Here is a 14,957-nt window from a genome sequence, read left to right on the forward strand (position 1 = left end):
TCTAATAGTATGCTTGTGCTGTGTTTTTTATTTTGAATGTTATATATTAACTTCCAACTATGGAAGATGAGGACTTAGCCCCCTTCCCAATCTCTCCCCATCCCACTACATCCTCTTCCTTCATCCTCTCTATATAGTTGTATTCTAGTTTTGGTTAAATAGATGATCAGTGCTTACCTTTTTATAACTACACTAATATGTACATCTAAGCCATACAGCATACTGTGATTATGTTTTGTGCCATTGCGTTGTTGTTTTCCTGGAGTTACTGATTGGATAGTCCTGTTGCCTTTCTTCTGTATTGTATTTCCTGGATCCCTTGTTTCTTCTCTTCTGTTTTCTCTTGTAGTGGTGGAACACATTCTTCAGTAGTTTGCTGAGATATGGTGCATATAAAATTGAGTTTTTGAGAGCTTGCAAACCTGAAAATATCTTTATTCTTTCCTCATACTTGATTGATAGTTCTTCTGGGAAATACTTATCTCTTAAAATTTTGAAGGTATATCATTCCTTTGTCTTCTAGCTTTTAATGTTGCTGCTGAGAGAAATCCGATGTCATTCTGATTCACAAGGCTTTGTATAGGTCCTGTTTTTTCCTTTTTTTCTTTGACAGCTTTTATGATTGTCTCTTTATCCCTTGTGTTCTTACATGTCAGAATAGTGTGTCTTGGCTTGGGTCTTTTTGACTTCCATTTTCTTGAGCACTTGGTGTGCCTTTTCAATCTGAAAACTCATGTTTTGGCATGTTCTGGCCTTTTTTTTCTTTCTTCTTCTTTTTTGTTTTTTTTTTTCAAAAGAGCTGGAGTCTTGCTTTTGTTGTCCAGGCTGGATGCAGTGGCACTATCATGCCTCTCTGCAGTCTCAACCTCCTGGGCTCCAGTAATCCTACTGACTCAGCCTCTTGAATAGTTGGGACTACAGGCATGTGCCACTATACCCGGCTGATTTTTTAATTTATGGTGGAGACAGTGTCTCCCTGTGTTGCCAAGGTTGGTCTTGAACTCCTGAGCTCCAGCAGCCCTCCACCTTGGCCTCCCAAAGTACTAGGATTATAGTAAGACACTGCACTGAGCAGGCAGTTTTTTAAAAAAATTATTTAATTATTTTTTAACTATTTTTCTCTACTCCATTTGTTTCGCTTTTCCTTCCTTGGAACTCCTATCTGGTAAGTGTTGGACCTTTTGGATCAATCCTCTTGCTTTGTTTTACCTCCTATCTCATTTTTTGGTGTTTTCCTGTTTGGAGATTTCCTCAAGGATACCTTCTAACCTTTCTATTGGAGTTTTAAAATTTCTATTTTAATTTCTAATAGTTGTTTTTCATTTCTTGAAAATGTTTATATCGTCCTGTCCTTGGTTAATTGATGTAATAGCTTCTGTTATTTTTCCTAAGGATGTTAATTATAGTTTAACAAAATTCTGTTTCCTGCATAGTTTCTGTTCCCCCGTGTCCTGCTTCAGTAATTTTCTCTGTTTTGATGCCTGCCATTCCATTCTGCAGGCTTTCTGTGCATGTCTGATGATCCTTGGCTAACCATTTGTGTGTAAGAGGCAGGCACTACAAACCTGATTGGAAGCTCAGAACATGTTATGGAGCTTGTCCATAATGATTGGGTAGGGACTCAGCAGTTTCTTCAGTGAAACCTCAAATGTCACTATCTGTATAGGTCTTCACTTGGACCAGTTCACTTTCCCAAGGGAGAAGCCATATGTCTCTTGTGTTGGGGTGAAAAGTCAAGCTGTCAGTGTTTTGGAGCCTAACTATTGACGGAGACCGAGGGTCCATGGGGGCTTTGGATCGTACTGTTTAATATGTCCCACTTTGACTTCATCCTCCTGTTTTCTGTGCAGTGTCTCATGCCTCCCTCTCAACCATGCCTGGCATTTCCTTGTCTAGATCCTGTCCAATTCAGTTGCTCCCAATTTGGCCAATGCTGTGGGGGAGGAAATTACCCATGTGTGTGGCTTGATGGGGATTTGGGGCTCAGAATACTCCTATAGAAACTTTTAACTCAGTACCCCTGCCATTAGTATACTTGGTGCCTCCTTTTTGGTGTTAGTAAATCCTACTCCAGGCTAAGGTTTTCAGATTTCTCTGGCCTGCTAATTTAGTTGCCTACTGTCCATCTTCTTGCTAGCTTCCACAGTTTTGTTACCATCCCTTATTTGCTGTTCTTCCTCTCTGTTCTCTCTTTATGCTTCAAAAAATTTCTTTGGTATTACCTTGGTGGGATTGCAGGAAGGAGTAGAAATAATTGGAATCATCTTCATCAGATTTACAAAGAGGTCTATGACCCCCCAAATTAATAATCAGTCTATTATATATATATATATGTATATTTTTTTTTGAGACGGAGTCTTGCTCTGTCGCCCAGGCTGGAGTGCAGTGGCACGATCTCGGCTCACTGCAAGCTCTGCCTCCCAGGTTCATGCCATTCTTCTGCTTCAGCCTCCCAAGTAGCTGGGACTATAGGCACCCGCCACCATGCCCAGCTAATTTTCTGTGTTTTGTTTAGTAGAGAGAGGGTTTCACCGTGTTAGCCAGGATGGTCTCGATCTCCTGACCTCGTGATCCACCCGCCTCGGCCTCCCAAAGTGCTGGGATTACAGGCATGAGCCACTGCGCCTGGCCTACTATACTTATTAAGAGAGGTTACAAGGTCTTCTTATTAAAGACTTTTTTTTAACATGGGAGACTTTCATAGAAGCATGATTTAGGTGTTGTCATGAAGTCGTAGGAAGGGATTAGATGCTTTCTCAAGAAATCTTTTAATCTTAGCATTTTGTCCTCATATTTTCCGTACTTGTTGGATGAATGTTGAAATTTAGTTTTGTAATCACCGGAGGCATAGTGTCAGTGAATATTTTCATCACCACACCAAGTCTTGTAGAAGAACAATACAGATTTTCAGTTACCAAAAATACGGTAGACTCTTTGCACTGATGGACATGTCCCATGTATTGATGAAGGTTTGGATTATACAGGTGGGCGCATTTGCCAAAACTTACCACGTGGTACACTTGAGATGCATTCATGGGTAAATTTTACCTCAAACAGAAGCCAGAAACAAAACTGTAAAGAAATATTAAACTCAAATTTAAATAAAAATACATGTGAGGACTATCAAAAATATATGAAAGTAGTTCTGTGAATTTTGAAAGATCATGGTTTTTAAAATTTTTCCATGTTGAAAAAATGGAAAATTTTCAATTAGGGGAGCAAATAAAAACTTATTCCTATCACATGCATCACAGCTACCTCCTCCATTCTTCTCCTCTCCCTTTTATTTTGTCATGTTTTGCCTATGCTAGTCACTATACTATGCAGATCTACAGGTGGTGGAGATTGTCTTATTTAATATCTAATATTCAGAATGCAAGGCAAAAAAGCCTTGGTATGTCCTTTTATTTTCAGATTATCTCTGGATGTGCCTACTTTCTTTTGGAAGCTGGGGTTACTTTTATTTTAGTTAGGTTGAGCACTCTGTTTCTTGGTTTTAAACTTTAGCTGGAGTTCTAGAGCTAGAAGCTTGGACCAAGTGACCTATCAGCTGGATAGGAAATTTGCAAGCATTGGGGAAGGTATAATAGCATGGACTCTCACATTGATCATTCTCCTTTTAGATATATTAATATTTATGAGGTACTTCATATTTTCAGAGTGCTTTCTCTTTAGTAATGTTTTCTAGATTCACTCAAAGGTAGGTTGGGAGTAGTTTTCTCATTTCATGGGAGTGAAATTAGAGAGAGGTGGAGATGTGCCCAAGTGAGTCTATGTCAGAACCAGGATTAGAATTTTGGAGGCAGACCAAGGAGAATAAGTGGCAGTGGGAATTAGGAACTGCTGCATACAGTAGTACCAGTGAAGACTACTAACCAGATTATAGGTTTAGACTGGCAAGACTTTGGACTGACCCAAGACCGAATCTGTTTTATTGTAGGTAAAAGAGAACCTGCTTTCATGCAAGATGCTGCTGCACTGCAAACGGGATGAGCTTCGGAAACTGTGGATTGAAGGAATTGAGCATAAGCATGTCCTGAACTTGTTGGATGAAATTGAGAATATCAAGCAAGTGCCTCAAAAGCTGGAACAGTGCATGGCCAGCAAGCACTATCTCAGTGCCACTGACATGTTGGTAAGAGAACAGCCTGTGCTAAGGGTCATTTTTGTTAAGATGTAAAAGCACTCTCTTTTATTCTCTCTGAATCCTGTAATGCATGTAGCACATTACAAACTGCCCTCTTGGGATTCATGAGCCCTTGAAGGTGAAGCCTGGGTATTTCTCTAATTCCAGTGTTTGAAATGGTAGGTAATTATTATTTATGTATTATCTGTCTTTGTAACAATGGCAAGAAATATAATAGTAAGAAACCAGTACTTAAATCAGGTTAGAATGGTAATGAGAGGTGTTTTTTAGCTTCAGAGGAAGATAGTTAATGAATCCCATTTTAAACAATGAAATCTACATGAGACAGAACTTCTGAAGATTTATAGACTAGTGTTCCACACATTTTTTGAAGGAATTTTTACATTAGGGCTTTGTTCTTTTCCTTGAAATTGATAAGAAATAAAATTTTGGGAGACTAATACTGGAAGCAACTTTATTGACCAAGAGTACTCCACAATCTAGCCTTTAGCCTCCATCTTAGTCCATTGTGTGTGCTCCTTTTTGAATTGCTGAAAGTTCCCAGAAGGATGCAATTGGTGGTTCATGTGGCTGAGCGTCAAGAAGATGAATAAAAAGTAGAAATACAGAGTTTGCTCCCTAATAATCCTCTTTCCCAAGGCCTGTGGCTCTTAGAGAGGGCTGCTCTTTCTCCCTTCCCTTTTACCCACCCAGTCCCACTTCCATCTCATTCAGAGTTGGTTAAGGAAGCTCTCTATAGGAGCTCTGAGCAGCAGATGGGCTGTATTTGAATTGTTGTTTTTTCCTTCCCCACAGTAGGTGAAAGTCCTTTACCTTTGTTTCACCAAATTAGATTGGCTTTAACACTGGAAAAAACACTGAGGGGAATTGGTAGGGACACAGATTAAATGCTCTAAGTGGTTCTAATTCATTCAGACTTCCAAGAAGAATTTTGCTAAAAGTCCTTCATAAGAAGCTTTTTAAAGGAAATTTGGTAACCAAGGAGTGAGAAGTGCCATGATATTCTATCAGATATTAAAACCTGGTTATGTGATAAGACTGAATGGTCAATTTCCACAGTGGAAGGAGATTAATAATGGTTGGCCCTTGGCTGGGAGTTTAAGGCTGCAGTGAGTCATGATCAGGTCACTGTACTCCAGCCTGGGCGATAGAGCAAGACTCTGTCTCAAAAAGAACCCCAATAAACAACAAAAAAAGATTGACTCTTGGGAATGACAAAAGAATTGGTTATTTTCAGCATCTTATTCAAAGTGGCAGCTTCTTTAATAATAATGACTATAGGGTGTCTGATAGAAAAAAATTACTTTTCACCTTTAGTGTTGATTTATGCATTATGAATGCATACTTGTCCTATATTCTCAAGATTCAGCAATCAGAATAGATAAGCAAGTATACATTTGTGTAGCAAATATACATCTATTTGAATCATGATTTTTTGGAGTGGGCTTGCTTTTAAGTAAGTGCCACAGATTAAAATAGGTTGTTAGAATTTATTTCTGTGTTAATTATGTTCATATTAGGATTTCAGATTTTTGTGTTACGGTCTTTGTTCTTAAGGGCTAATTTATTTACTTAAGGGCTAATCAATAATGAATACTGTCCCTTTTTTTCTGACATATTTTCCTCAAGACTCATTAAATAACTTCTTTAAATTCTTGGTTGTAAGTTACAGAAATTCAACTCTAGCTAGCTTAAGTAAAAATAATTGTTTGACTCATGTAACCAGTCTGCCAAAGGAATAGGCATGTATGTGGAATGTCACCTGTGTGTTTTCTCTGCATGCCCTCTTCATTGTTCTGCTGAAGACTGGTCTCTTCATGTGTGAGGGAGGAGGTTGGGTATTGAGGGAAAACAGGGGGCATAGGCTATGTCTACATCTTTCCACCTTTACAGAAGAAAATAATCTTTTTTTTTTTCATAATTCAGAAATCTAGGGTTAGGAGCTAGATTGAGCCAGGTTGGGTATGATAATCATCAATAAAACTATCTGGTTGGGGCAGGGGGCGTGGTATAGGGAGGAAGAACAGTCATGTCCAGAAAAGAGTGAGTTTGTAAGACACATTTTCCGGAGGTTTTGTTTCGTTTTCTGTTTGGTTGTTTATATATTCTAGATATTAATTCTTCTTGTCTGTTAGATATCTTCTCCCAATTGGGGATTTGTCTTTTTCCTTTGTTTATAGTGTCTTTGTTATAAAGAAATTAAAAATCGTAATGCAAAACAATTTCTCAATTTCTCAGTATTTTTTGTTATGTGATTTTTTTTTTTTTTTTTTGAGACAGGCTCACTCTGTTTTCCAGGCTGGAGTGCAGTGGTGTGATCTCAGCTCACCACAACCTTTGCCTCCTAGGTTCAAGTGAGTCTCCTGCCTCAGCCTCCCAAGTACCTGGGATTACAGGTGTGTGCCACCACACCTGGCTAATTTTTGCATTTTTAGTAGAGATGGGTTTTCACCATGTTGGGTCAGGCTGGTCTGGAATTCCTGACCTCAAGTGATCTGCCTGCCTTGGCCTCCCAAAGTGCTGGGATTACAGCCGTGAGCTACTCTGCCCGGCCTGTTATGTGATTTTTGATGCAAGAAAATTTTTTTTCCATCCCAGTGTTCTAAGAGAATCTCCTATGTTTTCTTCTTTAACCCGTCGAAAGTCCATTTTTATATATGGTATTAACTGAGGATCTAATTTTATCTTTCTTCTATATAGTCTGTTGGCTCAGGCTGTTTATTGAATCCTTTTTCTACTGATTCATGATGCTATTTTGGTCACACAGCAACTTATCACATATGCATGGATCTGTTTCTGAGCTCTTTATTTTGTTTTAATGGTGTTATTTGTACCTGCACCCAAACCATGCTGTTTTAACTCCTGTAACTTTATAATACATCTTGATAGGAGGTGAAGAGATTCTCTCATCTTGCTATTCAAAATTGTCTTTGTGGCCAGGCATGGTGGCCCACGCCTGTAATCCCAGCACTTTGGGAGGCTGAGGTGGGCAGATCACGTGAGGTCAGGAGATTGACACCATCCTGGCCAACATGGTGAAACTCCATCTCTACTAAAAATACAAAATTAGATGGGTGTGGTGGTGCATGCCTGTAATCCCAGCTAGCTCAGAGGCTGAGGCTGGAGAATCACTTGAACCTTCAATAGCTAATTGATTGAATTTAAGAGAATTATCTTTGCAATGTTGTGTTCTTATCTGTGAACCTAATATTCCTTTCATTTATTAAAATCTTCATTTGTGTCCTTTGATAATGCTTAGCAATATATATAGTCCTTAGAGGTATCATATGTATTTTGTTAGATTTATTTCTGGGTATTTCATTTTTTTGTTGTTGTCTTTTAAAACAGTAGCTATTTATTTATTAAGGTTTCTAGTTACTGGTTGCTGGTGCATAAGGATGTGATGTATTTTTCTTTTTTAATTGACCTTGTATTTCCCTGAACTGATTCCCAATACTGTCTGCCTGGAAAGTGATGACTTCTTTTTTAAGACCTGGCTCAAATTTCATCAACTCTCTGAATGTCCCAGATATTCAGATAGCTAGGTGCTTTTCTTTATGTTTCCATAAGCTCATATGTTTCATTTTAATATAATTCCTTTTGTTTGTGTGGTAGGTCATTGAGGATAGTGGTTGTGTCTTACCTATTTTTGTCTGCCCTGTTCCCAGCATAGTGTAGCTCATACAGTCAGAGTTCACAAATCATTAGCTAAATGGGTGACTATGTGGAAGACTGTAATACCACTACAGAGAGAAAAAGGTATTTCTTTTGTGGGAGCTTTGTTCTGTTTTTTCTTCTCTGGTTATTTATTTGTTTATTTATTTCTTAATGGCAAGGTTCTCTAGTGTCTAACCTTCCCTTTTCGTAGTAATTAAATGAATGACAATGATAACAATAGCTAATATGTATTGAGCACTTACTATGTCCTGGTACTATTTGAAATATGTTACATTTGTTAGCTTATTTCTTTCAACAACTCCACTTCTGATATTACCATTTTATAACTTTGCATGTTCTGAGGAGTTGGCATATCCCAATAAACAATGATTTGTATATCCCAATATGCAAAAATTTCGTGGAGGTAGGATTTAAAGTGCACTTAAAAGGTTGGAGATATCTTCAACTTGGTCTTTTGTATATAAGATTGAGTAGTAAGCTCTATAATTGCTCTTTCATTGGACTTCACATGAAAAACAATCACATTTTCTTTCTCCATGGTTATGTACTGTTAGAAGTAAAATCTAAGGCATCTCAAGGGTCCAAATCGAAATCTTTGCTAAAAGACATCAGAGGAAAGTGAAGACAAAACAATCTAGTCCTTCAAAACCCCCTGATTTCCTTGGATTTGTTTGTCAGAAGATTTTGCATTTCTATTTTAAGGCAGATGCAGATGCTTAGTAATTTAATCCCTACTCAGAATAGATTAATAAATCCAGAGTAAATAACTCCATGGTGACCCATTGCTCTTGGCAGCTCCTGCTATTCCTACTGCACCATCAGACTGGTCTGGTAGCTATAGGCTTGGCTTTTAGGTGAGATATTTGTTTCTTCTTTTGATATGATAACCGAGTATTGCATAAAATAATTAAATTGTCATGACAGGGAATGTCTGCAAATAGGTCTGGCCTTTTGTTTCTTTCTTCAAGGTAAACAGCTGCTGTTGGCTTATGAAAAGCTAAAAATGATCCAACAAGAAGCCTGTATCCGTCACATTGAAATCAGAGACTTGATTAATATTGTAGCCTGTAGCTTTGTGATATGTACGGTTTAAATTAGACCTTTGCAGTCATTGTGCTGGGTTGATGCAAGCACATTAATGACATAATTTCTGGTTGCAGCATCACATTTCTGCAGTCTGTCCTTTGTATTCCACTCACATTAATTGAAGTAATTTTGCCAGTGAAGCGTGTTTCAAACCTCTGCATTTAAATTGAAATTTTAATTCCCTTATTGTCTTGAAAAGACGGCTGAAGATGCCTTGTTACAGGTTTCATTATCACTCAAAACACTCCAGCTGCTGGTTCTAATGTACAAAGAGTGATTAATTCTGGGAAGAATTATTAATATAAGAATAGCAGCTTCTTCCCAGTGGCATGAGCCAACCAGGAAGGTATTTCATGATAGTTAATATTTTCATAAACTTTTTTTAAGGGAAAATGTGTGTAGAAGTCTGCATCAAACTAAAATTGCACAGATGAGCTTTGAAAACCACTTACACAAGTTCTGATTTATCATCCCATAGAAGTCAATTCATAATTGCATTCAATCAGTGGAAACCAAGCCAGTGCAAATAGTTTTGAAGCACTTTAGCTGACAGTCACAAGGCTTGTGACTAAAATAATTTCATTTCTAAGCCTTCCTGAGATTGTAGAGATTTTGAATGTCTCTTAATCATTTTGTCTGTCTTTATTTATATGCCTTTTAAAAAGAATCCATAGCTGTATAGTCAGATAAGGGTTATTATGATAATTATAATAACAACTTATATTTATATATCTGCCTTCTTCCCAGAGGATCCCAGAGTGCTTTGCTGAGAGAATGGTGTAATGAAATTATTTCACTTACACTGTGTAAATGTGGCCATATCTGGGATAAAGAAATTAGGGCAGCTATTTAATTGAATAGTTTTCTAAGATCTTATGTAATAAAATAAATATATTTGTAGTATTTTTAGTTAACAAGATCCTTTGGAATTGGATAACATGGTGGGTTGTGAATGTCAGCATGGGTCTTAATTTGGGTTAGGTCGTCTGATGCTTGAATCCCAGCTTTGACTCTTAGTAGCTGGATGACTTATGGTTAGTAAATTATCTTTGCTGAAAGCTGGAGTTAAGAATAATATGTATCTCCAAGGGTTGTCGAATGGATTAAGTGAGATATTAAACTGTGTACATAAAGTATATGCAGTATAAAGTTTTTGAAATGTTATTTATAATCGATAAATTTTACTGATATTGTAGGAAATGATATGATGATTGCTTCCATGTTATAATCTCAAAAACTGCCTTTGAGGTGGACTTCTTTTGAGCTAGTAAAAGTTGAAGTAGGGTTGGATTAAGCAGTTTTGATTCCTTTTCTTCTTGGCCTAACATGGATGTACCTAAATGAAAAACCAGCCCACCTTTTTTAAAGGTAAAGGAACTCTTGTGGGTGGATAGGGTTTTTCTCAGAAAGCAATTCTAGTCTTCTCTAACAATTCTGTGTTACATTTCTAGGATTTGGCATGGACAAATTTCAGATTATGTGTTATCAATTACTTACTCGGCTTACATTAAAAATATGTTCATAGGGTACCCATTGATTGTATAATTCTGAGCAATGTAATTTGTTGGTAAAGTATCCAAGATGAGCTTGTAAAATCTACTTTTAGGTAAGTAAATATGTTAATCCACTGGGTATCATCACTAGATAAAAGCCAGATCAGTACTGGAAGATGTTTGTCGTCAGAACATTTTAGTGTTAGAAGAGTTGGTGTTAAGCTGTTGTTTCTGTGAGTGCTTAGATAGCAGGACCAGTGGACCAGTGAGGTTGCTTCTATTTGTGTCAGTAAAGCTGTGTCATTAGCAAATAGACTGATCTTATTTTCTCTTCTTTATGCGCAAGGAATGGGTGATCATGCATCCACTGAGAAATGATTAATGTGCAAGCAAGAAAAAAGGGAGCCAAAACATACATACATCCCTTTTATCTGGCTTGAAAGTTTCTGAGATCTCACAGAACTGTTTTTTCTTATTACTCTGGGAAAAGTATCGATGTGAAAGCTCTGTAGATAACAGGAGCTGGAATATTCTAGTGAGCTTATTGGACTAAACCTGAAAGTGGTTCAGTGACTGTAAAACAATGTTCCAGTATTCCGTATGGATTTTCCACAACATGATAAAAATATATCAGTGATCAATAATGAAATAGCCATTACTAAAACCCATCTGTTCCTAGTGTAGAAGAGCAGCTTGAAAGACTGAGGCCAATATTCTAAGCTAATAATTTATCAGGAAAGAATCTGGCACATATTTTGATAAAGAGACAAATGATTGGGTCTTTAACATGTGATAATGCCATTGTTGATAACTTCTGTTGTTTGTATGTGTATGTGTGAAGGTGGCCTTAACCTTGGAGGATATTACTTGCTAGTGGGAAGAGACAGATGGTGAACAAATAGTGTCTCTCATATTATGTTAAGTACTATGGAGAAAGCTACAATAAGACAGGGAGACTGGGAGTATTGGGATTTGGGGTAGGGATAGTGTGGTTTGCTATTTAAATAGGGGTGGTCAGCTGTAGCTGCTTTTAGCCGCATTTGAGACCCCCCTTCATTCTTCTCTTGCCTTCAAAAAGATTTAGGAAAAGCTGAAAACAAAATGAGTAATTTTGTTTTTTTATATCTACAATTAAGTGAGTAGGTTTGTGACAGTTTTATTTTTCTCTTATAGAGTAGAAGTGCAGGGGTTTGTGGTAGCTGTTTTTCATGCTGCTCAAGGCCCTTTTTATTTATATTTGTTTTTGAAGGCTGGGGTTTTTAGAAACTAGATTGTTTGATAGGCACCTGGTTATTGTATTAGTTTTCCTTTTTTTTTAAATTTTGCTTTTTTATCTGCTATTCATTTGCCTCTTTTAAAGCCAATGGAAATTCTGTTTTATTGCACTAAAGCCTACGAGGTTCAGCAATTTCCATTTGGCTTGCTTGGCTATGGGGCAGTGATTCCCACACTGCACATTAGGGGATCTTGCAAGAATTCTAAATTCAGGTCACATCCCAGACCGGTTAAATAAAAGTCTCTAGGGGTGGGCCACTGACTTCAGTTATTGACATTCTCCAGGTAATGCCAATATGCAGGCAACATTGGAACTATTGGTGTAGGGTATAGCTTGTTCTGTGGAATTCAGCAAAACTTATTGTCCTTGTCTTCATTTAGCAACAGTGGTAAGTAGTTGGAAACCAAGTATTTATGTAAGACACACATCACATGGTGATACTCACATTTATGTAGAAGTTTATTGTTTGAAGTTGCTTTGTGGCCATACTTTATTGTAGTTTTGGGATACAGCTAATGAGTATTTGGCTTTTATTCTGATTTTATAGTCTGATTATTTGGTCAAATCGGTTTAGTAGTTAAATGAGATGATTTAGTAGTTAACTCACTTAGTTTTTAAATGAGATGATTCTCCATGTTTGGACTGACTTGCACTCTTTAGAACTGTCATTTTGTTGCTCTGATTTGTGCATCTTTGCTGTGGGTCCTGATATGACCTACTGCAGGGATTTAATGGATTGAAATTAGAGAATATGTTTATTAATTTACAAGTGGTGACTATGTATAGTGTGTCATAGTGGAAACAAAGTGGATTTAAAAGCAAGAAGTTCTTAATTCTAGTCCTGATTCAACAACTTACCAGTTCCTTGAGCTTAGATAAATAAATTACATTATCTCTCTGTTTTAGTATCCTTATCTGTAGAACAGATAAACAGATACTTACCTGTCTACTTTATAGAATGGTTATGAGAATAAAAGTGAAATATAGTACAGGAAAAGTGCTTTGTAGGATATAAAGCAGTATAAAAATTTAAAATGGTGTAGGTATCATCGTCGTCATTTCCCCATGCCAGGTAAAAAGAAAATGCAGGAGTCTGGGCTTGTTTACACTGAGCAGCATTTCTATTCTGGTGCTACCATCATTAATGCATACCGGTTTTAATCAGATAAACCAAGTGTGACTGTGTTTGCACACTTGAGTGTACAGGAAGAATGCTCTAAGTCGAGAATAATACCTAAGTCGTTTGCTGCCATCCTCCATCATATTTCTGGTTTCAACCTCACATACGACCTTTCTTGAACAGATTTTTGATTGGTCAGTCTGTGGCCAGATGGGAACTAGATGTTTGTGTAAATTGCAGCTGATGACAACCCATGTTGTTGATAGGGGACTTCAGTCTGAACTTGATGATGGTCTGAGAATGCTAATGAGTAGCTTTTGCTTGGCTTGACAAGATAGGAGGAGCTTGTTAAAGAAGTCTATTTTCTCTGAGATTCATCCCAATACTAATTACTTGTGGTTGCCTAGCTCTTGAAATGAAAAACGCCATATTCCTCTATCATTCCTTTGTGGGATTTTAATAGTTCACGTTAGTAAAGAGCTGTGTAAGTGCTGAGCATTTCTAATGGATTTGGGGCTCTTGCAGAGTGTGGGCGAAATTGTCTTGATTGAAGTGCGAGCCTGAAGTGATTCTGAGACCTCCTTTGCCAACTCTTAAAAAGAGAGTTGTTCTGTAACTTTTTCTTGTCCCAGAGTAACAAATAACATGACATGGTGAGTGACTTTAGGACGCTTGTTAAAAGAGAATGGCTTTTCTAGTGGTCTCTTCTATTGGATTTTGTAGTAGAAACCTAGGTTTTAATGCTCTCTTACAGAGCACTGATGGGAACTGGGAATTGAAGGGACCATGAGGTTAGGAACAAAAGAGGTTTTTTTTCTAAGCTTTCCTATGAGCAGTTTACAATTATCTTTCTCTTACCGTGTTACGTATAGTTTAATTTCTTCAGGAAGGTAATTGTGAACAGATCTGTTACAAGGCCTTTTAGAAGAAATAAGGCTCTCAATGTGGAATTATGCATCAGAACCCCTAGAACTATGCATAGCTTAGGACTTGAGATCTACTTCTAGAATTTTATTTTAAAGAAAGAATTAAGAATTATAACTGTTTTGTGTTACAAATATGTATACAAGGATACTTATCACAGTAAGATCTATGAAAGTAAAAAGATTAGCAATGACTTAAATATGGGGAATTGGTTTAAGTCATTGTATAGTCATACTCATGGACTAGTATGAAAATACTAAATATAATGTTTAGGGATAGGCACATGCTCCCAGTGTATTGCCAAATGGAAAAAACATGTTTAAAAACAAGTATTTTTGCAAACACTTTGCATGGAAAAATGATTGGAAAGAACTAGGTTAAAATATTATATATTATTGCATCAGATGAGTGACAATATGATGATATTTTTCTTTTGTAATTTTCTATGTTTTTCAAGTTTTCTTGGTTGAGTAGGTATTATTTTTGTAATTTGGGAGAAATGCCAAGCTTAAGAAAAAAATACCATTCTAGGCCTGACTTTTTTTTAATCTGTGAAATTAGGGTGGGACCCCAGTCTTGAAAACCTTTAAAGGTCTCTTTCAATAGAAAGTTCTTAGTTTTCATCTCTCAGATACTGCCGTTCTGTGAGGCTCAGGCTGATAGGGTATGTTAGAAGACTTGGCTGTTGCTACTTTAGGAGGGGAAAAAAAAGATTACTTTCGCTTTAATAAAATATGGGAATTATTTGTGGCAGAATGCACTGATGTTTAAGGGGGAAAAACAAAAAACTAACAACAAAAGAGGGAACCCTGAAGAATGCTTAAGAATAGCTTAATAAAATGGTATGCTTTTAGAACAAGTCCGCATTTCATGGTAGTAATAGGGTGAAATCTTTCATGAAGGAAGAAGTCACATTTGATCCTGTTTTCGAGTTTTATTTTCCGAGATAGATCTGAAGATACTTTAAAGAATAAATTCACAAGTAAAGGGCCTTTTCTTTGACAGCACTTTATCTTGCAGGCCCCCCTCCCTTCATTCACTTATCAATAACTTCATCTAATTTGCCTTATCCTGTAAATTCCATTATCTCCCTGGCAGTCTATTGCATTAAGCCCTTAGTACCTAATATCGCCTCATTTACATTGACATATGCTTGACCTCAGTCCTTCTCCTCTCTTTGTTAATGCACCAACAAGCACTGATATCTCTCTGGAGCATTATCATTTGCTGTTA

At 37.1% G+C, this 14,957-nt stretch overlaps 1 protein-coding gene and 1 non-coding gene across 12 annotated transcripts in view; both read left to right on the forward strand.

Moving 5' to 3' along the window:
• Positions 1-14,957, forward strand: part of EXOC4 (exocyst complex component 4) — an 847,874-nt gene that overhangs the window by 31,904 nt on the left and 801,013 nt on the right. For all 11 annotated transcript variants that reach the window (XR_007060126.1, XR_007060125.1, XR_007060123.1 and 8 more), the window contains exon 3: positions 3,941-4,135. Coding sequence is in view for 3 of the 11 variants with exons in the window: in NM_021807.4 (NP_068579.3) it covers positions 3,941-4,135 (195 nt within the window). In the remaining 8 variants the exon portion in view is untranslated. The remainder of the gene's footprint in view (positions 1-3,940; positions 4,136-14,957) is intronic.
• MIR6133 (microRNA 6133) lies at positions 5,900-6,007 on the forward strand. Its single transcript, NR_106749.1, has one exon. It is a non-coding gene; the product is annotated as a microRNA 6133 (primary transcript).

The sequence above is a fragment of the Homo sapiens genome, chromosome 7 (genome assembly GCF_000001405.40).
Source record: "Homo sapiens chromosome 7, GRCh38.p14 Primary Assembly".
Lineage (NCBI taxonomy): Eukaryota > Metazoa > Chordata > Mammalia > Primates > Hominidae > Homo > Homo sapiens.